At 42.5% G+C, this 24472-nt stretch overlaps 2 long non-coding RNA genes across 2 annotated transcripts in view, besides 1 other annotated feature; both read right to left on the reverse strand.

Annotated features, from left to right (window-relative positions):
- The window catches only part of LOC105373627 (uncharacterized), a 65027-nt gene extending 57564 nt beyond the window's left edge, over positions 1-7463 (reverse strand). Inside the window, exon 1 of the long non-coding RNA XR_001739714.2 lies at positions 6993-7463. This is a non-coding gene — a long non-coding RNA (uncharacterized LOC105373627). The remainder of the gene's footprint in view (positions 1-6992) is intronic.
- Positions 6270-7469: an enhancer, noted in NCBI's record as "MED14-independent group 3 enhancer chr2:134742538-134743737 (GRCh37/hg19 assembly coordinates)". NCBI's record gives its function as "activates an origin of replication core promoter dependent on BRD2, BRD4, P300/CBP and CDK7 cofactors, and independent of MED14, by STARR-seq in HCT116 cells {active_cell/tissue: HCT116}" and the evidence as "EXISTENCE:reporter gene assay evidence [ECO:0000049][PMID:35650434]".
- The window catches only part of LOC105373628 (uncharacterized), a 45070-nt gene continuing 28117 nt past the window's right edge, over positions 7520-24472 (reverse strand). Inside the window, exons 4-5 of the long non-coding RNA XR_001739715.2 lie at positions 8421-8750; positions 7520-7982 (exon numbers count right to left, since the gene is read on the reverse strand). This is a non-coding gene — a long non-coding RNA (uncharacterized LOC105373628). The remainder of the gene's footprint in view (positions 7983-8420; positions 8751-24472) is intronic.

Raw genomic sequence — 24472 nt, forward strand, 5'->3', positions numbered from 1 at the left:
CCCTCCCACCAGGAGAATTGAGGGATCCTCCAAGAGGTGTTTTCAATGCCCTCCAACCAGTCCAAGTCATCGTTGGGTGGCACAGCTGTTATTGGATAGTTGGTGACTCTGCTGTCACCTCTGCCATGAGGCTCCTCGGCCCACCCTTGACGTCATTGCTATGGAAGTGGCTGAGCTGGAGCTGTGCTGATGGTGCCACCATCGATTGCTGCTTTCAAGGCTGCTTTGTCCCCTGAGGTTCAGATCCTACTGGTTCTTCCTCCCTGGCTGGTGACAGAAGAGCAACCCCTGATGGAGTGAGAACAAACACGCTCACCTGTTGGGGGCAGGTTGCTGGGACTCCCAAAACATCACAGAGTTTGATAAGTTAATTCTTAAATCCAGTGGCTGGGTCAGGGCAGCAAGTTCAACACCACTGCCCACTCCTCTGTTCCAAATGCAGCCAGATCCTTCTTCATTTAGGATTAATTAAGGGGGATATAACTTCGCGATTACTACATAGCAGAGTACCACAAACTTAGCGGCTGTTATCCTGAGCAAATAGCACAGGACTGGCCTACACTAGGTGTCACATGAGGTTCCGTTTGGCCCCACAGTCTCACAACATCAATCAGCTCACAGTCCTGTGGCTCAGTGGTGCAGGTGGGCTCAACTGGGTTCTCCGCTGAGTCTCACTCACTGAAGTCACGGTATCCACCGGGTTGGGCTCTTGTCTGGAGGCTCTGAGGACGGATCTACTTCCACTCACTCGAGTGGGTGGCAGGACTTAGTTCCTTGGGGCTGTGGGACTGAGGTCCCTGTTTCCTTGATGGCTGTCAGCAGGGGCTGCTGTCAGTTCCTCAATGCCAACAGCCTTGCCTTCATGGGGCGCCTCCATCCTCAAGCAAGCAACAGCGGGTCGAATTCCCCTCGTGCTTTCACTTTCTCTGCCTTCCTCTTCCACCAGCAACTGGAGAAAGCTCTGGCTTTAAGGCTCGTGTGATTAGATCAGGCCCATCTGGGTACTCGTTAAGATCAATGTTGCCATATAACACAATCACAGGTGTGTGGTCTCATCGTATTCACAGGCTTCAGGGGTTAGGATGAGATACTGGGGGTAGGGAGTGGACACTTTACAGATTCTGCCTGCCGTGGGGGCCGCCACCCAGCCCTTCATCATTGCATCTTTCAGACCCCTTTCCCCTCCCCCCATCTTTCACATCTGAATAGGCCTGAACCCTGAAGGTGGATGATATCAAGGAGACCTCATTGCAGTCTTAATGACCAATGGATTCTTCAGAGAAGGGTGCCATACGGTGCAGCTCTCTGGATGTGTCTGAATCTCTCTGGCCAGGTTGGGCCCTGTGTAGCACCTGGCTTGGGCCCATCCCGTGCTGAGTGCTTTACATTTGTCATCTCCGACAATCCTAACTGCCCTCTTGAGCAGGTGTTGCTGTCCCTGATGGTGAGATGAAGAAGCAAAAGCCCAGAAGGGTAAAGTAGGGAGTTCAAGTCCACTCTGCTAAGAAGAGGTAGAGCCAGTATTTGAACTCAGATATGACTGATTTTTTTTTTTGCATTTTATTTTATTTATTTATTTATTTATTTATTTATTTATTTATTTATTTATTTTTGAGAAGGAGTCTTGCTCTGTTGCCCAGGCTGGAGTGCAGTGGCGCCACCTTGGCTCACTGCAAGCTCTGCCTCCCAGGTTCATGCCATTCTCCTGCCTCAGCCTCCCGAGTAGCTGGGACTACAGGTGCCCGCCACCATGCCCAGGTAATTTTTTTGTATTTTTAGTAGATACGGGGTTTCACCGTGTTAGCCAGGATGGTCTTGATCTCCTGACCTCGTGATCCACCCGCTTCAGCCTCCCAAAGTGCTGGGATTACAGGCTTGAGCCACAGTGCCTGGCCTTTTTTTTTTTTTTTTTTTTGCATTTTAAAGTGTAATGTCCCTCTCAATATTTTATTATGAAAATATTTAAACATACAGAAGACATTAAAATAGTAAACTGAGCACTGGTGCGCTTTTGATTTCAACAGTTGTTAATATTTTCCCATATGTGCTTTCCCCTCTCTGTCTCTCTGTGTATATCTATACATGCATATGTTTATAAAAATATTTTTTGCCAAACCGTTTGAAATTAAGGTGAAGACCCCAGGATGCATCACGCCTAAATTTTCCTGCATACATCTCCTATGAATAAAGGTCAACCTCTCACAGAACCATAATACACCACATCTAAGAAAATTGCAAGCAATCCACAACACCCTCTAGTATCCAGTCCATATTCAGTTTTCCCTAAATGTCCCAAGAGTGTCTTTTATGGCTGTTTTTGTTGTGTTGTGTTTTGCCACACACAGATTGCCATGTTCTGCCCCTCCATGTCAGAGCAAGACAGGTGGGCTGGAGGTGAGACAAGAAGGAAGGCCCAGGGCTGGGCTTGGTGGCTCATGCCTGTAATCCCAGCACTTTGGGAGGCAGAGGCGGGTGGATCATCTGAGGCCAGGAGTTCGAGACCAGCCTGGCCAATGTGGTGAAACCCTGTCTCTACTAAAAATACAACAATTAGCTGGGTATGGTGGGGGGCACCTGTACTCCCAGCTACTCAGGAGGCTGAGGTGGGAGAATTGCTTGAACCTGGGAGGCAGGGGCTGCAGTGAGCCAAGATCGTGCCACTGCACTCCAGCCTGGGCAACAAGAGCAAGACTCCATCTCAAAAAAACAAAAAAAAAAAAAAAGAAGAAGAAGGAAGACCCAGCACCAGTAGGCAATGAGTGGGTCCTGGGAGTTCTCTCTGCTGGGCCTTTAGGCTATTTAGGCTCTGGGGAAGGAAAGCTCACATCACTAGGCCTCTGTGTCCATAGAAAAGGGTTGGAGAAAGAACCTCCTCCTTGAGGCCCTTAGTGATACCTTTGGTCGCTGACCTCCTGAGCTGACAGCTCCGACTCTCTGTCACTCTGTGGTTGCCACAGATCTGGACATGGCCATGCCCTGTCCCTGACGCTGGGCTGAGTTAGCGTTTCTGTGTATCCCTTTCATTCTGCATGCCGGCCTCCACCTCTGCATGCCGGTCCTTCTTCACCTCTGATTGATTGTCATTTATTACTAAACACAGGCTTGGAAGGAACGGTGCCTATGAGTGCCAGGTAGGGGCACTGTCCCCAAGGATCAGGTAGGACATAGGCTGGGAGCCCAGCAGGTGTGAATTAATGACCAAAGGAGCCAATGAACAGAGGAAGCTTGAACATGCCCAAGAAAGCCAAGCTCCTTGAGGGCAAGGTCTGTGTTTCCTAATACTGTGCTAGTCCCCGGCACAGAGGGGCCCCAGGCAGAACTTTAGTGACAATTAAGTCAGTAATTAGCAAAATTGGCTGTACAGGAAAATCATCTGGGAAGTGTTAAATCAATGCTGATTCCAACGGCATCCCTCCACATTCTTAATTAATTGGTCTATGGCAGGATATTGGTTTTAGCTTTTTAACTCTCCAGGTGATTCAAATAGGCTTGGTTGAGATCAATTATGTTAAATACATGAATAAAAATATGCAGCACAGAAAGACATCGTCTTACCTGCCTATTTGAGCCTCTGCGTAGCGTAACAGTCTTCCCACAGCAATTAGGAGAAAGTCCAAAGCCCTTTGCACAGCCACCAAGGCCCTGTATACACGTCCTCCCCCCTGCGCCCTTGACTCGGGCCCACTGGGCCTTCTGCAAGCACCTGTGTTGTGCTGTGGTGCTTCCTCCAGCCAGGCCCTGCACCTGCTCTCTCCCTGGCACACCCTTTGCCTCACTATCTTTGCACAGCCAACTCATAGTCTATTGCCCTTTGTGCTCCCCAGAAGCCATTCAGATCTTAGTTCAGACTGGGTCAAGTCCAATCTTCCAACTCCCATAGCACCAGCTGCCCCAGAGGCCCTTACCACGATTTGAATGTTTGTGCACTATTTGTTGAATGTCTGTTCTCCTTACAGAACTTGTGGCTCCACCAAGGGAGAGGCCAGGACCTGCCCCTTCACTGTCATGATGCTGGCATTCCTCATAGTGCCTGCACAGAGGAATTCAACAACTCTGTGAAATGAATGACTGTTGAAACAATGAAAGTAATATTGCTCATGGAGTCGAAAGCTCCAGGCTCAAACGCTTGCTGTTGAAACTAAGTGGCTGTGCAACCTGAGGAGAGCTTCTTAATCTTTCTGAGTCTTCCTTTTCCTCTCTTAAGGCTATTGTGAGGACTAAAAATGACAACTACGGCCAGGTGTGGTGGCTCACGCCTGTAATCCCAGCACTTTCGGAGGCCAAGACAGGTGGATTGCTTGAGGCCAGGAGTTCAAGACCAGCCTGGCCAACATGGCGAAACCTTGTCTCTATTAAAAATTAAAAAATTAGCTGGGCGTGATGGTGCACACCTGTAGTCCCAGCTACTCAGGAGGCTGAGGTGGGAGAATCGCTTGAACCTGGGAGGCAGAGGTTGCAATCTGAGCTGAGATTGTGCCACTGCACTCCAGCCTGGGCGACAGAGTGAGACTCTGTCCCTAAAAATAAAAATAAAAATAAAAATAAATTTTTAAACAATGACAACTTACATAAAGCATGGTGTTGGTCTACTCTTTTGTTGCTATAACGAAATACCTGAGGCTGGGTAATTTATAAAGAAAACAGTTTTGTTTGTTTGTTTGTTTGTTTTTTAAGATAGGGTCTAGCTCTGTTTTCCAAGGTAGAATGCAGTGGTGCAATCTCAGCTCACTGCAGCCTCTGCCTCCTGGGCTCAAGTGATTCTCCCACCTCAGCCTTCTGAGTTAGCTGGGACTACAGGTGTGCACCACCATACTTGGCTAATTTTTGCTAGCCAGGCTCAAGTGATCCATCTTGGGCTGAAGTGATTCATCTGCCTTGGCCTCCCAAAGTGCTGGGATTACAGGTGTGAGCCACTGTGCCTGGCCAAGAAAAGAGGTTTAATTGGCTCACAGTTCGGCAGGCTTTACAGGAAGCATGGTGCTGGCATCTGCTGCTGGTGAGGCCTCAGGAAGCTTCCAATCATGGCCCATGACCGAAACACCTCCCACTGGCCCCACATTCAACACCAGGAATCACATTTTAGCATGAGATTTGGAGGGGACAGAACATGCAGACTATATCAGGCATTCACTCTAGGGCCTGCCAAATACCAAAATGTCTGTCAATGTTAGTTTTCTTTCTATTCCTTCAAGGAATGCTTATAATCCCCAGCAGGAGTGGAGTGAACATGTCGATTCTGTCTCACACACACAGCACATGGATGCCTGTGCAGGGAGGAAGGAAAAATACCTTCAGACTGAGCTGGTTTGGAGAGACAGCAGCAGCAGCATCTCCCTAGAGCATCCTTCTCCCCATGGAACTCACCCCAGGTGAGCCAGCCAGTCACCCAGCCCAGAACAGTGCTACAACGACGGGTTCGACCCTGTGGCTCTGAGGCCCCGATTTCTTTCTTTATTCTAGAAGCAACATATTTCCTTTCTTTATTCTAGTAGCTGAATTCTAAGATCACTCCCACGTTCCCACCCCATTATATATGTCTTGTAGAATCCCCTCCCCTTGAGCGTGGCTAGCATAGTTACTCCCTTGATGGGGTTATTTTATATAAGACTCTGTCATAGCTGACTGGAGAGAGAATCTCCTACTGGCTTTGGAGAAGGAAGTCACCATGCTATGAGGAGTCCACAAGGCCAGACCCTGAGGGCGGCCTCCAGGAGTTGAGTGTCAGCCTCAGTTGGCAAACAGCAAGAACATAGGGACAGACCTCAGTCCTACAACCATAAAGAAGTAAATTTCATCAGCAACTCAAAAGGGATTGGAAGAGGACCATGAGCTTCACATGAGAACACAGCTTGGCCAACACGTTGATTTCAGACTTGTGAGACCCTACACAGAGAATCTGGTTGGACCATGCCCAGATGTCTGCCCCACAAAACTGCAAGATAATAAATAGACATTGTTTTAACCTGCTAAGCTGTGGTAATTTACTACAGAGCAATAGAAAACAAATATGTGTGCTCATAAAAAATAATTAATATAGGAATTTAGGCATAAATAATTCTCCCATATCACTATCACCAACAGACACTATTGTTTTTCCTGTTTCTGGTGAGGCCAGATATTGTTATGTTTGCAGTTTTTTTTTTAACATGGTAGTAGTCATACTGTATAAACACTTTTCTAATTAATTTTAATTAGCTCTACAGCTAAAACATTTTACAAGCTATAACATATTTTTATAAACTTCATTTTTAATGACTGCATAATAGCCCATTGAGAAGCTATGTCATCGTTTACTTAACCTTCCTCTGTGGTGTGACTTTCAGTTGCTTCTAGATTTTACTCTTCTAACTCAACAGTTAATGCTTTTGTGGGATAAAATTTCCCTTCATATTTAGGATTATTCCTTTAGGTTAACTCTCAGGCCTACTAGTCCTCTGATTCACACTGTCTTTTTAATTTTTCCCAATCTATTACATATTTTCTAAATTTTGTACACCATTCATATGTCATGTGTATCATATCAAAGAGCCTAGAGAAAATTTTCCTCTGTGTGTTCCTCACTGGGTGGTTACAATGGAGAAATTACAGGGCAGGACTAGCATTAGGGTGAGGAGAGCAAGGCACTCAGGCGCAAAACTTAAGGGGGCACCAATATCCTCAGTGATCAAGAGAAGTAATATTGTCACGTAACTGTATTAGCTTTTTAGGGCTACTACTGTAATGAAGTACAGTATTCTCTCTTATCCATGGGGAAATGCATTCCAAAACCCCCAGCAGATGCCTGAAACCACAGACGGAGATAGTACTGAACCCAAAGACACAGTTTTATCCTATACATACATAACTATGATAAAGTTTAATTTATAAATTAGGCACAGTAAGAGATTAACAATAGTATTCAAATAGAATAATTATAACAATATACTGTAACAAAAGCTATGTGAATATGGTCTTTCTTTATCTCTCTCAGTATCTTACTGTACTACACTCACCCCTCTTCTTGTGATGATGGGAGATGATGCAATGCCTACATGATGTGAATGGAGGTGAATGATCCAGGCATTGTGACATAGCATCGGGCCACTCCTGAGTTTCTGATGATGTCGGAAGGGAGGATCATCTGCCTCAGTTGATTCTGGATCCTCAAGCCATGATGATGTCCACGGTTGAATGTCAGGAGCAGACGACGTCAATGACAAAGGGATGTTCCATGTCCGGGGCAGGACAGCACAAGATTTCATCATGCTCCTCAGAATGGTGTGCAATTTAAAACTTTTGAAGTGTTTATTCCTGGAATTTTCCAAGTTGACTACAGAACTGAACCCTCAGAAAGCAAAACCTTGGGTAAGAGGGGACTATTCTATCACAAGCTCAGTAGCTTAAAACAACAGACATTTATTCTGCCACAGTTCTAGAGGCTATGCATCAGAAATCAAGGTGTCAGCAGGACCGTGCTCCCTCTGAAGGCCCAAGAAAGAACCCTTCCTTGCCTCTCCTAGCTCTGCTGGCTGCTGGCTGTCCTTGGTGCTCCTTGGCTTGTAGCTGCATCACTCCAATTGCTGCCTCACTCCAATTGCTGCCTCTGTCTTCACATTGACCACCTTCCCCTTGGGTCTCTGTGTGTTCACACAACCTCCTAATAAGGACTGCAGTCTTTGGATTTAGACTCCACTCTAATCTAGAATGACTTCATCACAACCAATTACATCTGCAAAGACTCTATTTCCAAATAAGCTCACATTTTGAGGTTTGGAGAGGACATGAATTTTGGAGAGATACTATTCAACTCAATAGAGGAATCTTTTTTAAAAAAAATCAAAATCAATGCAAAAAATCCATAAGGAACAAAATTTCAAAATTCTAAATAAAGACAGAATCCACCCCTGCAGAAGCATGACTCACCTCATTGGCCTCTCGCTAGCCCCAGCCTTGGCTTCAATGAGATAAGCTCTTTAAAAAGCCTCCAGGACAGTGTTGGGTAGCTATTAATAGAAAGACACGGTAAATGTTGGTTGCTTTCTCTTCCTTGTCCATATCTTTATGGGTTTAATCAATTTCTTCTATCTCTTTGCTTTATATATATTTTCATGAGGGACTCTTATCTATTTCTGGAGTTTGGACACTCCAGGTGTCAACAAACATGTTTGTGGCCCACTTTGCATCAATTTGGTCATAAAGGACTGGTAAACAAGCACTGCTGGAAATGCTTCTTTTTCCCCTTGTATCAGCCGTTCATACTGAGATGACTCTATTCTTAATGGAAAAAAAATCCACTCCTAGAAAACAGATGGAGCCAGTGCTTTATGCCAGGTGAGATCTGATTGCTACCAGTGAATATCAGAGACAGAATCAACACCAATGGGGACAAGAAGAAGCCTCCCCAGGGCTCCAACCCCCTGCAGAATCCTAGCAAAACAGACCTGTTAACAAAAGCCCTTCTTAACATTCCGGTCGTTTGTGCTGTAAACTTGGAAAGGTTTCCAGAATTTCCAGAAGCGCCTACCTCTACCTTTACAGAAAAATACACAATCTCTGCTTGTATGTTGGTTTCTCAGCAAGAGAACATAAGAAATTGCGCAGCCTGGGCTGCAGTGATTCAAAAAGTAGGTCATACATATCCTTGAATCCGATTACTGAGGCCAACGGCTGGCAGAGGACAGGACAGCAAGCAGGTTCTACATGGTTTATTTTTCTTTCCTTTCCGGAGTCATAGATACAAAAAGGACTGAAGTCTTCAAGTTTCTCTCACCCTGAAAAAAGAAAGGGCAGAGAATTCAATATTATTAATATCTACGGATTTTTTTAGTATATAAAGAGTTGTGTGCACTTTCTAAATGTAATTTCTGTGAAATCAAACTGACAAGGTTGATAATGAATCATCCTTGGTTTTGAAACTAGGAAAGTCTGAGAGAGACATGTGACCCGCTCAGCGTGTCCCCACCCATATGGGTGATCATGCCATCAAACACTGGAATTCTCCATCTGGTTCAGGGGCTACATGAAAAGTAGCAGTTATAGTAGAGTCAGACCCTACAAATGACTATTCTTCCTGAGGAGTCAAAGACTTAAAATTGTTCTATATCACAAGTGTTTAAGATGGGCATAGCCATCACCCATGCAATTCCCCTTCTAGAAATGTGCCCCAAGGAAGCAATCAATAATGCGCTCAAAACTTTAATCTGTAAAGCTGTTTATAGCAGTGTTCTAAATAATAGTGGAAAATGGGAAAAAATACCCCAAATAAGTGGTGGTTAAATAAATTAAAATATACTTATTGTTAAAGTATCCCCGGTTTTCCAGCCTTCTGTAATTACCCAAATGCATAATATTCCAATAAAACAACTGAACTACCCATTCTTTATGAGGCAGGGATTTTTGAGTATTTCTAAAAATTCACAGGGAGTAGCTGTCACCTCTGGTGTTCATGTTGTTTTTGGCTTCTCATGTCTTTTGGCCACATTTTTATCCCCTTTCTAGTTTACCAGCAACATGGAAACAGTCCCCTTCATTAATTTCTCAAGGCATCACTTAGATGTGTAATTAAAACTTCTATCTCCAAGTCAGACCTCAGTATTCCTAAATCCATCTCTCATACTTTAAGTTGCTTCTGTTAACAGTGGCAAATCGTACGGGTCTGCAGCAACTCAATTCTTGCCTCTTCAGAGGAAATAGTTCATCAAAGGGGCATAAAGCTGAGTGAGAGACTGAGGCAAGTTTTAGAGCAGGAGTGAAAGTTTATTAAAAAGTTATAGAGCAGGAATGAAAGGAATGAAGTACACTTGGAAGAGGGCCAAGCAGGTGACCTGAGAGATTCGAGTGCCCTGTTTGACCATTGACTTGGGGTTTTATAGCTTCCATGCTTCCGACATTTTGCATCTCTCCTCCTTTGAGTTTCCCTTGAGGCAGGCTGTGCACATGCGCAGTAGCCTGCCAGCACACATGCGCAGTAGCCTGCCAGCGCCTGGGAGGGGCTGCATGCGCAGTGTGTTTACTGAAGTTGTGCACATGCTTATCTGAGGCATTCTCCCCTTGCCAGTGGAGCGTTCCTATAGGAAGGTCACACACCCGTTAAGTGCCGCCATTTTGCCTTTTAGGCATTCCTGGGCCCTCTCGCCCAACTTCTAAGATCTTATTGGGAGGCTGATCACCAGCTTTAGCTGTTTTCTATCTATTGGGAGACTGCCTTTCCCTGGCACCAGCTACAACCAATTATTATTTTAGCGAGACAATTTAACAACCACCTGACCATCACCTGATGGTTGCCTAGCATTCTTGTGGAGGTGTTGGGGGGCCTCTCCTGCCCTGCTCCTGCTTGCCTGGATACCTGCTTAAACACTTCTTGCTAGTCATCTCGCCTGTTTGTCCTGGCCCACCTCCCCTTGGTAGACTACACTCTTACATGTATCTAAGTTCTTCTCAAGTGCCTGGGTCCTAGGCCTGTAATCCCTGACTCACAGTCCCCACAGGAAGCCAAAACTCTACAACCACCAGAACGACTCTGACATCTCCTTTTTTTTTTTTTTTTTTTTTTGAGATGGAGGCTCGCTTCTTCACCCAGGCTGGAGTGCAATGGCGTGATCTTGGCTCACTGCAACCTCCGCCTCCCAGGTTCAGGCAATTATCCTGCCTCAACCTCCCCAGTAGCTGGGGTTACAGGCATGTGCCACCATGCCTGGCTAATTTTTGTATTTCTAGTAGAGATGGGGTTTCACTATATTGGCCAGGCTGGTCTCGAACTCCTGACCTCAAGTGATCCACCACCTCAGTCTCCCAAAGTGCTGGGATTACAGGTGTGAGCCACCGCACCTTGCCTGCCATCTCCCTTTTTGTCTCAAACTATGGCCCTAATGCAGGCATTGGTCCCTGCCTTTGCGTATTCAAAAGGCCCATAGAAGTGTTTCTTTGATCCCAGTAACAACAACAATGAAAAGTCTCCCTAAAATGAAGTTTGCCACCACCACACCCTAGAGAAACCAAGACAAACTGCCAAAAGGTTTTAAAATAGCAATTTATTTTCCTTCCCACCACACATTTAATTGAATTCCTCAGAGCCATTAAAAGTCATGTTGTAGAAAAGTATTTAATGACATGGAAACAGTGCTCATGGCATATGGATAAGTGACAAAAAAAGACCTATCTAAAAGTACGTGCAGTAGAATCCAAATTATATAAAAATTCTGTATATATTTGATTATGAAAAGAGGGGAAGATTTGGAAACATTGTTGTGTTTTCCTATTTTACCATCCTACATCCATCTGCCTCAGGGCAAGGCATTGTTACAGATGCCAAGAGAAAGAATTGCTGTTTCGTTGTTGACATTCACAATAGGATTTTACCCGAGATAGGCCTGAAAGCTGGGAACTGGTGACAATGGACCAGTCAATACATCAGCGGCTTTGCTTAAGAGATTGGAGGGAAGATAAATGGAGAAAGAGTGGGGAAGATGTTCCGGGAGAAGAAACTGTGTCCCAAGAGCTCACGGGACCACTGAGGTAGACAGGACTTGAACCTACTCTCCCCTTGGGGCTCAGGGAAAGAACTGCTGTGCAAAGCACCCTGTGACACATGACCTGACCCCAGCTTGGCTAAAAAGGCAGAAAGTCACTGCTGATTGGCATAAGCATCATGGGCAGGGACCCTGAGCTAAGACCTGGACAGGGGACAGCCTATGTGGACCAACTGGGTCAGGGCAAGTGGAAGACATGGAAGAAACCCAGGGTCTACAGTACCCATGGGAGTTAGGAGAAGACCCTAGGTAGCAGGGGGAGGCCCCTGGATTCTGAACAAGCTGAGGGAGAGAACAGGACACATGTCAGCAGTCCACAGATGCCTGGGAAAATGCCAGCAGAATGTCTAAAGATGAGACCAGGCTAGCTGTATCTCAGCAACAGCAGGCAGCACCCCTGGAGGTGCCAGCACAAGGCAGGGGTCCATCTAGCCATGTGGACATGTAAGGATCATCCCCTGATCTCCCAAATGTCATTATGAGAAGAGATGCGTGAGACAGGCAGGGAAAGAATCTAAAAGCCTGAGCAATTGTCCCAAGAAGATGACGTTAAATCTAAAAAGACTATAAATTGTGGGCTTGGATTAAGCTTAAACTCAACTGAGCTAAATTGAGGCGCTCTTCTAGCAATCCCTCAGAGCAGATGAGATAGGGGTCAGGAGGGGGCACTGGTTCAGAGGGTCCGATTCATTATACAGCAGTAATTCTCAGACTTTGGTGTGCATTAGAATCACCTAGAGAGCTTATTTGATCACAGATTGCTGGGCTAACCCCTAGAATTTCTGATTCCCAGAAGATCTGAGGTGGGACCTGAGAATTTGCATTTCTAACAAGTCCCAAATGATGCCAATGCTGCTGGTTCAGGGATGACACCTTGAGAACCACGGTTCTAGAGTTAAAGAACTATAATAACTGCCTTATCTCCACCAAGCTAAATGGAGTGATGTTGAGGCTTCTCCATCTATCGATCTGTCTCTGATCAGAAGCGCATATACCAAATGGCAGCTGTGGGTCTAATTAGATCGTAGGATGATGAATGACTCATATTTTTTATTTTGTGCATTCTAGTTACCTAAAATGAGCATGTATTACTTTGAAAATCTGAAGAAACGTATATGACAGAATTGTTACCCAAAAAGATAAAGAGACTTGCTAGCTGGGATCCAGCGAACAACAGCCCAAGGAAATGAGACTGACTCAACAGCCAGACTCTCACCTTCCTTACAGACCTGGGTTGGTCCTTCCAGTCCCTGAACCTTTTGCTGTAGATGTTTTACAATGAAGACCAGTCCTTTTTATATACAAAGAAAGTAGCCACAAAATGTGTATGATTTGAGAAATAAGGAAAATCCCACAGGTCCTTAAATATCTCCCTTACCCACCTGCTATAGTGTGTGAAAAATTCCTCAACAGGCTAATTCCTAAAGGACTTTAGAAGATGTGCATTGTCACCCCAGCCTCTATGTTATCTGGTAGGGACATTGTTAACTTTCCAACCAGGGAAAGCTGTGATGTAATGCAACATCTTCATTGACCTCAGGTCTCTAAGAGTGAGCAGGAATCTAAGGGGTTGGGACAAGTGACAGGCAGATTTTGATGGCAGGTTCAATATCAGAAGTTCCAGGTCACGTGATCCAGCCTGGAGGAAAGAGGGAGCCCAGCTGTGTGCATCCAGAGGTCAGCCCAGGAAAGGGGACCTGGAGAGAGGGAGCTAAGACAGACTTACATAAATAACATGAAGATTGAGAGCCTGCAGGCCCCAGCCTGGCAACAGGGCTGCCAGGTTGCACTGCAGCTCCAAGCTGGCCCTGCCGTGCCTCCTCCGGACAGTGACCCTGCACAGGAGCTTGACAGGGGGCCTGCCTCAAAGGCCAAATGTCCAATACAGGTGGAAATCATACATTTCACACTCAATGGCACTTTAAAAACAGCTCAACTACTTGTATAAAATTGTCTTCTGGGACATCTTATTTTCCAAAGACAAAATTTTCTGGACAAGAATTGGTACTGGGAGCCCAAGTCTGGCTCATAATGAAACTCAGAGACTGCGTAGATTCCTTTTAAAAAGAAATCTCAAGTCTTGCAGAGATCCGGCTTACCTCCTGAAAAAGGTGCGGCAAGCACCTACACCCCGTTATTTCCTATCTACTGCCTTGTTTATAAAAATCACTCAAATATAGTTTTTCTGAATTCTGTTCTGGGAATGTCCCAGGCTTAGAGTCCAGGCAGGCTGACTTATAGTTCTGTGCCAACCAAAAAGCTCCATATATTTAGAGGTATGGACATCCATCTTCTTGGCAATAACACTCTGCTGAGGAAAACAAATCAGGAAACAGATCCTTCAGTGGGCAATGTTAACCAGCTGTGGAGTAGTGCTCTTGAATTCTGCCACAGGCCTGACAATCCATGGCCTCTGTATACAAGGGGACACATACCGTTGCACCTAGTAGCACAGACCAGCCAGCCAACCCTGGAGCATGTGTCTGTTCCCTGGTTATTCTCCTTACTTGGTTGTGACTCAATCATGAATGCCTAGCACTATCCCTGGTGCATGATAGGATATTAAAGTTTGTTGAATGAATGAATTAATGATTTATCAAATATGTAATAATTTATAATGGCATTGACTATGTATCCAACAGTATGCTAAGCAATCTAGATTTTATTATTTAATCTAATCACCTGTACAAACCATTTTACAGATAAGAAATGGGAGGAGGAAGAATGAATCAGAAAAGAAAAGAGGAAAGAAGGATCAAGGGAGGGAATGGGAGGGCAGCCAAGGGGAGGAGAAGAATAAAAGAGAAAGAGGATAGAAGGAGAGAGGAAAGAAGAGAGGGGTGGGATAGAATAGAGAGGAGAAGGGGAAGGTGGGGAAGGGAGTGATGAGGACAGGCGAGATGGGAAGAAAGGGACTAGAATGAGAGAGGGAGAGAGCTAGGGAGGGAGGGATTTAGAGACAGACCAACTGGTACCTACAAGTAGCTTTTTCCTAAGGGAAGCCCCGGTCCAGCAGAAGGAGCTGAGGACTGCAGTGGAGCCAGCAGAGCACACCATCTGGAGGGGCTGACAGAGGAGCCTGGTGCAACAGCAAGACAGGAACTGGCAGCAAGGATCTGACAAGAGCAACCTGCTGGCCAGGCCCTGGCAAAAGAACTCTTGATGTGAGCCAGATATTAAAACCTAGCAGGCAGGCTTGATAAGTCTGTCAGCAAGTACTGAAGCTGGAGACGTTGGATTAGAAACCAGAGACAGGACTCTAATCCAAGGTTACAAACAGGGACCTAGACACAGAGCACAGGGCAGGAATCCAGTTACAGAACAGAAGCACAGGGGAGGCCCAGGCAGGACGCCTCCAGTTGGATTGAGGGAAGGTATTTAATGTGTTATAGCAAAGTTTTCGCATATTTGTTTGTTTTTAAAGCAAGGACTTTATTGTATTGGGTGGGGGGCAAATAGTAGTCATAACAAAATAAAATTAAGCAATACAAAATACAACAAAGTAAAACTCATTAAATTGCATTACCTAGGAATAAGCCTTATTAATGTTTGTAGATTTCATTTCTAATAACTCTGAGCACATATACAGAGAAAAACACACAGATGGACCCTCAGACACACAACTAGATTTTACTAACTGGTATTTTTTAAGTATTAAGATTAAGTTTAAAATGTACTTAAATTTGTGGCCCAAATTTTTACTTCCTCATGTTTTGTAAAACCGCAAGCAAAAAATAGGATTTCAAGTCATCCCAGACTATGATACTGCCTTAAGGTACACAGCAGAAGCAACTGAAGTTTCTCTCTGGAGGACCTACCTTCTGCCCAGCCCCCAGAGAATTCCTACAGATAAAGTTCCAAGGAGCAGCTTAGAATTTAACATCATAAAATACCCAAGAAAACAAGGTGCCATGTTTGAGAATAAGCCAAAACAAGAAAGGGTGGAAACATCATGAAACATTTTAGATTTAGAATTATTCAGAAACATTATTTAAAATTATGTTCACTATGCTTGGCTGGGAGCTGTGGCTCACTCCTGTAATTACAGCACTTTGGGAGGCCGAGGCAGGTGGATCACCCAAGGTCAGGAGTTCAAGACCAACCTGGCCAACATGGTGAAACCCGTCTCTACTAAAAATACAAAAAATAAGTCAGGCAGGCACCTATAATTCCAGCTACTCAGGAGTCTGAGGCAGGAGAATCACTTGAACCGGTGAGGCAGAAGTTGCAGTAAGCCAAGATCGTACCACTGCACTCCAGCCTGGGCAGCAGAGTGAGACTCTGCCTCAAAAAATAAAAATAAAAATAAAATTATGTTTACCATGCTTAAAGAAATAGAGGGGACGCTTGAAAATGAACAGGGAACTAAAAATATGAAGTGTGCCCAACCATTTCAAAAAGAACCAAACAAAACTTCTGGAAGTTTTTTAAAAAACTAATAATTGAGATTAAAACCTTAATGATTGACTGCAAAGCAGATTAGTCATAGCTGAAGAGACACATAGTGAACTAGAAATGAGGACTAAAGAGATTATTAAAATTAGCCACAAATAGATGAAGAGATGGAAAAATACCAAAAAGAAGTCAAGAGGCATGAACGATGGAGTAGGAAGGTACAACACATTATGGTCAGAATTCCAGAAAGAAGAGAAGGAGAACTAGGCAGAAGCAATCTTTGAAAAAAAAAAATAATAATAAGAGGTAAGCATTTTCTAGAACAGATTAAGTACTCTAATCCACAGATTTCAATCAGAATTCCAGAAAGAAGAGAAGGAGAACCAGGCAGAAGCAATCTTTGAATAAAAAATAAGAGGTAAGCATTTTCTAGAACGGATTAAGTACTCTAATCCAAAGATTTCAGAAGAAAGAGGATAGAGAAATACATTCTGAGATACATCATAATCAAACTAGAAAATACCAAAACAAAGAGCAGATTATAAAAGTAGCCAGGAAGGAAAGATAAATTACTATCAAAGGAAGAAAAATTGTGTTACAAGACTCTTCTCAATGTAAACCAGAATACAGTGGGATAACATCTTCAACAATGGAAATTAGTACTTATTTGTGTCTATGATGTACCCAGAAGTGCTTTACTTACATTAACCCGTTTAATCTTCAAAATCACAATGAGGTAGGCATTACTATTATGCACATTTTACACACAAGAAAACTGAACCAGAAAGCTTAACTAATTTTCCCACACAGCTAGTAAATGTCAGAGTCAGAATTCAAACCAAGTTGGCCTTGTTTCAGAGACTATGCTCTTAACTACTACCGTCAACTAACTCTCTGTGCTGAGAGAAATCATGTCAGCCTGAATTTTTTTCCAAAGTATCTTTCTATAACGAGGCCTCAGTTTCCTCTTTCAGTAATGACAGACTATATAATTCAATTAAAAATTTTAATCTGTAATTTAAAACCTTCCCACAAGGAAAACTTCAGGCCCAGATGGACTCACTAACAAATTCTACCAAATATTTAAGAAAAAAATAAAGCCAATATTATACAAACTCTACGGCGGGGTGGGAGAAGAACATCCCAAATTCCCTTTTTGAGGCAAAAATAATCCTGATACACAAAATGACCAAAAAAATGGTAAGAAAGCAAAATTATAAATCAATCTCACTCATGCACATAGATGCAAAATTTTTTATCAAAGTATTAGCAAATCAAATCCACAAGGGCAATTTGGCAAAATCTGTGCAATTAAAAAGGCATTTACCCTGTGGCCTGGCAACCCTAATTCTGGGAATTCATCTCACAGATTTAACTACCCTTGTAGAAATTGACCAGTGTTCACTACAATATAGAGTACTCATTACATCATTGTTTGTATTAGAAAGATTGGAGACAACCCAAGTTTCCAACAATAAAGCTCTCATTAAACAAATTATTATACATCCATACAATGGAATATTGTTATACAAAAATGAATGATGACAATCCTATATATTGATGTGAAAGATCACTGAGATATACTGTTAAGTTTAAAAACTCAAAGTACAGAAGTGTTTGCATTATGCTGACTGTTGTATGTGAAAGTAGAAAAATAAGAATTCATATTCATAGTTCTGTGAATACTAAGAAATATCAGATGATTACATAAGTCTTCTATGGGGCGAGGTGGTAGTCAGTAGTGGGAGAAAGAATTTTTGATTGAATTTTCACCTCATATATTGTATTTTGAAACATGGGAGTATACTACAAAACCAAATAAATAAATATCAGAAAATAATAATGTCTTATGAAGAGAAAGTAAAACAAGATACAATGCAAACATATGACAGAAATATCATAAAAGGAAAGAAGGGCATAATTGGAATGATGATGGCCCAAGGTCCTGCATTGTTTGGGATGGAAAGCAAACATATTGGTTAACTTTAGAAGTTAAGCATTAATGTTATAATTTACTTAATTGATATATAGGATTCTAATAACATGGGCTTGAAATATATAAAGCAAAGTTTGACAGAACTACTAGGAGAAATAAAAATTTTTCCATCATAGTGGGAGATTTTAAGATGCCTATCTAAGAAATGTATGGTTTCAAGACAAAATTTAATCTTTTATTAAATTAAAAAATAAGGATATAGAAAATTTGAACAACATAATAAACAGTCTTGGTTTAATAGCCATGTATATATATCTGGAATCAATAATCAGAGAGAACAGATGAGGTGCAAATGAAGTATTTGTAAAAATTGACTTTGTACCAGGCCATAAAATAAATCTCAGTAAATTTCAAACCACTGGTAACATCAGACTTTGTTTTTACTACTACACTATCAATACAGAAGCTCACAACTGAAACATGTACTACATTATAACATTTTTAAAAATTAATTCAAATCTTGGTTGGGCACAGTGGCTGATGCCTGTAATCCCAGCACTTTGGGAAGCCAAGGCAGGCGGATCACCTCAGGTCAGGAACTGGAGACCAGCCTGGCCAACATGGTGAAACCCGTCTCTACTAAAAATACAAAAATTAGCTGGGCGTGGTGGCACACACCTGTAATTCCAGCTACCCGGGAGGCTGAAGCAGGAGAATTGCTTGAACCCAGGAGATGGAGGTTGCAGTGAGCCAAGATCTTGCCACTGCACTCTAGCCTGGGTGACAGAGACTCCATCTAATTAAAAAAAAAAAAAAAAAAAAAAGTTCCAATCTTAAACCGTAGAAAGATACTCTAACTCGTATTATGAGGCAAACATAACTTTAATTTGAAAACAGAACAAAGACATTATTAGAAAGTAACATTACAGTCTAACCTCATTCATGAATATCATGCAAAATCCCTACACGAACTATTGTGCTTTTTCTATTGGCAAAGCAGGAGGGGCTAGAAATTGAAGTAGTAGAGATACTGAGACCAGAATAAAAGATGGCACAGAAACAGCAGTGGTCTCAAGGAAAAGGGCCACCAGAGCTCCTGCTTGGCATTAGAGGACTTTAGCTCTGTTTTGCAACAGTTCTGGGTCTGAGCACCAAATGCAATTTCCACAAGTGTATGTTGGGGGACAGAGAGAGAGTCCTCCCCTTTCTACTAGAAAATCAACGTGGCTATAAAATTATTGTCACACTCTTTACCTCAGAACTTTCTGGGTATTATCTCACTGTGTTTTTACATGTGTTGATCCACTTGTTTTGGTGTTTTTGCTTTTTTTTTTTTTTTTTCTAAAGGCATCTCCACTTGTCTCTTGGTTTACTGGAATTTTACCACAAAGTAGTTGATTTATTCGCTTCTAGAATGGCTCTAAAGTAATTATTCCCTGCTTTTTTTATGTTTGATAATTGCTGATGTTTTGTTTTATTTCATGCTTTCTCTCATAATTATAGACATTGCTCCATTGACTATATTGTTGCTGTGGAAAGTCTCGTAATAATCTGACCCTTGTTCAAAAGACTTGCTTATTCTGCATGATGACCTAAAGAATGCCTATCTTTTTCTTTCTCCAATAAATTTAAAAGGATACATTTCAGAGTCTATCATCTGGACCAATTTTATTCTACAATATAGTTTGTCTTTTACATCAAAGTCAGGTATTCATTCCAGAGAAATTTTTCTTCTATGAAATCTTTTAACAACTTTTCTATTCATTGAGTTCTTTACTTCATGTTTATCAACATTTGATTATTATTATCTCTATTCCATAGCTGTTATCATCTTTTTCTGTATTTCTTTTATTCTCTTTTATAAATCATCTAAGTTTTGGCCAGGTGTGGTGGCTCATGCCTGTAATCCCAGCACTTTAAGAGGCCAAGTAGGGCAAATTGCTTGAGTACAGGAGTTCAAGACCAGCCTGGGCAACATGGCAAAACCTCCTCTCAAAAAACAAATACGAAAAAATAAGCCAGGTGTGGTGGTGCATGCCTGTGGTCCCAGCTATTCAGGAGGCTGAGGTGGGAAGATCACCTGAGCCTGAGAGGTGGAGGTTGCGGTGAGCAACCTGGGTGACAGAATGAGACCTTGTCTCAAAATTAAGTAAATAAATCACTTAAGTTTTTTTGTTTTGTTTTTTTTGAGACAGGGTCTCACTCTGTCACCCAGGCTGGAGTGCAGTGGTGTGATCATGGCTCACTTGCAGCCTCAAAACCCTGGGTCAGGCTATCCTCCCACCTCAGCCGTCTGAGTAGCTAGGACTACAGGTGTATGCCACCACGCCCAGCTAATTTTTGTATTTTTTGTAGAGACCGGGTTTTGCCATGTTGCCCAGGCTTGTCTTGAATTCCTGTGGTCCACCTGTGTCAGCCTCCCAAGGTGCTAGGATTACAGGCATGAGCCACCACACCCAGCCTCTGTTTAACAAAATTATCTTTAGCTTTTCCTGAATTTCAATGATTACATTTTCAGCCATGATTATTCTATTCCTTTCTGTTTTTAGTTAATTACTTTTATAGTGATAGTGTTTTATTCCTCGTTTTCTTTCCTTAGCTTTGCAACCTCCAATTCCACCTCATTCAGATATTTTATCATCTAATTTCTGAGCTCCTTTAAAGATCTAATCAAATTCTTCTTAAATTGTTGTGTAGCATGAAATACAGTCAGCCCTCTATATCCACCTGCTTGATATCTCAGATTCAACCAATGTCCAATCAAAAATATCCAGAAAAAAAATTTTAAAAGATAAATCATACCAGTTTTAAAAATACAGTATAACAACTATGTATTTACATAACATTTATGTTGGTATTATTAAAATCTAGAGATGATTTAAAGTACTTGGGAGGACATGAGTAGGTTATATGCAAATTCTACATTATTTTATATATGGGACTTGAGCAGGTTATAAAATACAGTATTTATGATTGCTTTATTTTATTACATTTTAATCAATTTGTAATTACATATTTAATCATTTTATTGTTATTGCATATTTAATCAATGTGTGTATATATATCTATATCTGTCTTAGTCCATTTTGTGCTGCTCATAAAAATATTGCATATTTATAAAGCAGATAAATTTATTTGGTGCTTGGTTTTAGAGTCTGGGGAGTCCAAGCCCATGGTGCCAGCATCTGGTGAGGGCCTTCCTGCTGATTTATCCCATGATGGAAGGTAGAAGGGCAAGCAAGTGGGAGGGACAGAGATAGGAAATTGGGCCACACTTACCCCTTTTATCAGGAACCCACTCCCATGATAACTCACCCGCTCCAGTGGATAATGGCATTAATCAACCCATGATAGCAGAACCCTCAGGATCTAATCACCTCTTAAAGGTCTCACTTCTTAATATTATTACACTGGCAATTACATTTCAACATGAGTTTTGGAGAGGATGCTTAAACCATAATAATATCTGTATGTCAACATATAAAGTATAATATACAAATATATAAATTTTATGTAAAAATACAAAAAGGTACATGCCAAAATGTTAATTCTGGTGTTCTCTAAAAGAATAATTCTCACTTTCTGCTTTATATCTGTCTACATTTCATAAAATTTCTACAATAAACATGTATATTTTTCAAGGCATCCTATTGTTTTATTTTATTTTATTGGTTTTATTTATAGCCTGCCTTTTTCCAAAATGTATCTGATGTTCTTTTCAGCAGAAGAAATACATAACAAAGTTAATGAAATAGAAAATCAGGACCAAGGGGAAAACAAAGAAAATAAATAAGGAAAATTGAGAGAAACAAAGGAGCTGCAAGGATGACCTGATTCTGTAGAAAAATACGTTGCTGCCATGTCCCTGCCATGTCCAGCCTGGATGGGCCCAAAGTCCTGTTGTAGGTCTGTGGGTTCCAGCAGGGGAAAAGGAAGTCAGATGGGAGGTGAAGCAGAGACTGGACGTACATCTACCCTAGAGCTGAAGGGTTATTTCTTCACATATCCCAGCCCAGAAGCAGAACATGTAGCCTGTCATAAAGAAGCTGCTGTTTACACCTAGAACCAGCCTAGCCACTACCATCAAAAAAACATCTACAGGCTGGGTGTGGTGGCTCACACCTGTAATCCCAGCACTTTGGGAGGACAGCACAGGAGAATCACTTGAGCCCAGCAGTTTGAGACCAGCCTGGGAAACATAGCAAGACCCTGTCTCTACAAATTTTTAAAAATTAGCTGGGCATAGTGACGTGCGCCTGTAGTCCCAGCTACTTGGGAGGCTGAGGTAAGAGGTTCACTTGAGCCCGGGAATTCAAGGCTGCAGTGAGCTATGATTGCGCCACTGCACTCCAGCCTGAGTAACAGGGGAACTTTGTCTCCAAAAAAAAAGGGAAAAAGAAGAAACATCTGCAAATGTGCTTATGGGATGATTTAAACAAACCAACATTTGGAACATTAAATTGGATATTAAAATTAAAAGCTAACATGAAGTCAATTCTGAAATTGGCTAATTGCTGTCCTCTGCAGGAAGAGGGCTTTCACATGCCCGTTCACAGTGTCTGAGGGAGACTGCCATCCAGGGCTGCAGGCTGGACAGGCGACCCAGCTGCACTTCCTGCCTAGATTGCTCTTTGTTTGATGCTGCCCCATTTTTGTTAAGCGTGGCAGAGTCCATTTCATCAGCTACTGCCTGCCCAGCCCCAATCCTAATGCCTCTTCATTGTCTTCTGGATAAAATACAAACTCCACAAACTGATGTTCAAAGCTCTCAACAATCAGGTCACACCCTGTCCACATATATTAATTCCAACTCAAATTAGCAAAGATGTACTCAGCCTAACAGTTGAGGGTGCTTGACTGCATAAACTTCCCCTTAAAACCCGACTGTCTAGCAGGAGAGACAGATATATAAACCAAACTTGTAATACAGTGTGGAATGGCATTTATAATGGAACTCAAATAATGGAATAACTTATTATTTTGTATTGGCTGAGTGGCTACAGAAAATCCTAAAAGGTCTTGGAGTCACCTGAGCTGGCTCTTGGAGTAGAAAGAGGAATTTTGCCAGTGGTGAAACTAAGGAAGGCTGTTGAGAAAACAGTGAAAAGGTATGAATGAACATTTTATTTTCAGAGAACCTAGAGCAATCCAGAGCTGCTGGAGAATAACTGGGATATTTCACTGCAAAACTCTAATGGCATGAATGGCATTGCCATTCATATAGAAATACAATGTGAATGGCACCCCATCCTACCATGCTGCACAGCACTGGCCCTCAGTCATCAATGTGGGACTGACTGAACACATGATTAGAAAAATGGGCTTGGGCTAGGAGGGACTTTGAATTCTGTAAGATTTATACTTTATTCTGTGAAAATTAAGAGAGCTATCAGGAATTTTAAAGCCTTGGAGTGACTCCATCACGTATGAGTATTCAAAGAGATGTGTATTTATTTTAGCTACTTCTGCATATCAAAAAGATATTTATTTTTAAAAATCACTCCTATTTTTATTTTTTTTTGAGACTGAGTCTCACTCTGTCACCCAAGCTGGAGTGCAGTGGTGCAATCTCGGCTCATTGCAACCTCCGCCTCCTGGGTTCAAGCAATTCTCCTGCCTCAGCTTCCCAAGTAGGTGGGATTACAGGTGGCACGTGCCACCACACCTGGCTAATTTTTGTATTTTTATTAGAGACAGCGTTTCACCATGTTGCCCAGGCTGGTCTTGAACTGACCTCAAGTGATCCGCCTGCCTCTGCCTCCCAAAGTGCTGAGCTTACAGGTGTGAGCCACCATGCCTGGTCAAAAGGTCAGTTTGCAAGTAGTAAGGAAAATAATGTGAGGAGAAGGAGAGAGAGAGACTGAGACTAGGGTTCAGTTAGGAAGAGATTGCAATTGTTCTGACCAGGGACTGTGAGGGCCTTGAGCAGCACGGTGGCAGGGGAATCAAGGCATTGAGATATATGAGGTTTTCCAAGATAGGTTCCAGTGAAATTAGTAACTCATTGATGTGGGTGGTGAGGGAGAAAGAGTCAACAAGTTCAGGAATTGGGTGACTAGGTGGGTGGGAATGGTGATCACCAAGACAACAAATTCCAGGTAGCAGCTGTTTTACAGGGAAAGATGATGAATCCCATCTCAGGTATGTACATTTAAGAGGCTTATAAAACATTAGGATAACCAGAGATAAAGGTCTGGGACTCATTAGCCAAGTTCTGGCTCAAAATAAAAATAGGAGAATTGTTACTCTGTAGATGGTAATTGAAAGTCATGGAACTATGTCTCTAGCTTTCAGTGATGATGTGGACAGTTGCAATGGGTCATCACACTCACTATAACAACTCGGAAAAGCATAAATAAGCTAAATGAGTAAATGACATCAGAGAGTTGTGGAAGCAAAGAAGTCTAAAGGAACAGAGTGCTGGTGAAGGAGGCCCTCCTAGGTGAAAAGAGGTCAGAGGCTGCTCTCCTCCCTAGAGGGGTCTGCTGAGTATGTGGAGAATCCAGCCTGCCATAGGCACAGGGACTTTACAAAAATGAGGAGAAACTAGCTGAGCTTAGAACAACCTGTGGGCTGGCAAGACTGATTGGAATCTGTAAGAGCTTGAAATGCAGAGCTAATTCTCTATGTCCAC

The sequence above is a fragment of the Homo sapiens genome, chromosome 2, assembly GCF_000001405.40.
Source record: "Homo sapiens chromosome 2, GRCh38.p14 Primary Assembly".
Taxonomy (NCBI): domain Eukaryota; kingdom Metazoa; phylum Chordata; class Mammalia; order Primates; family Hominidae; genus Homo; species Homo sapiens.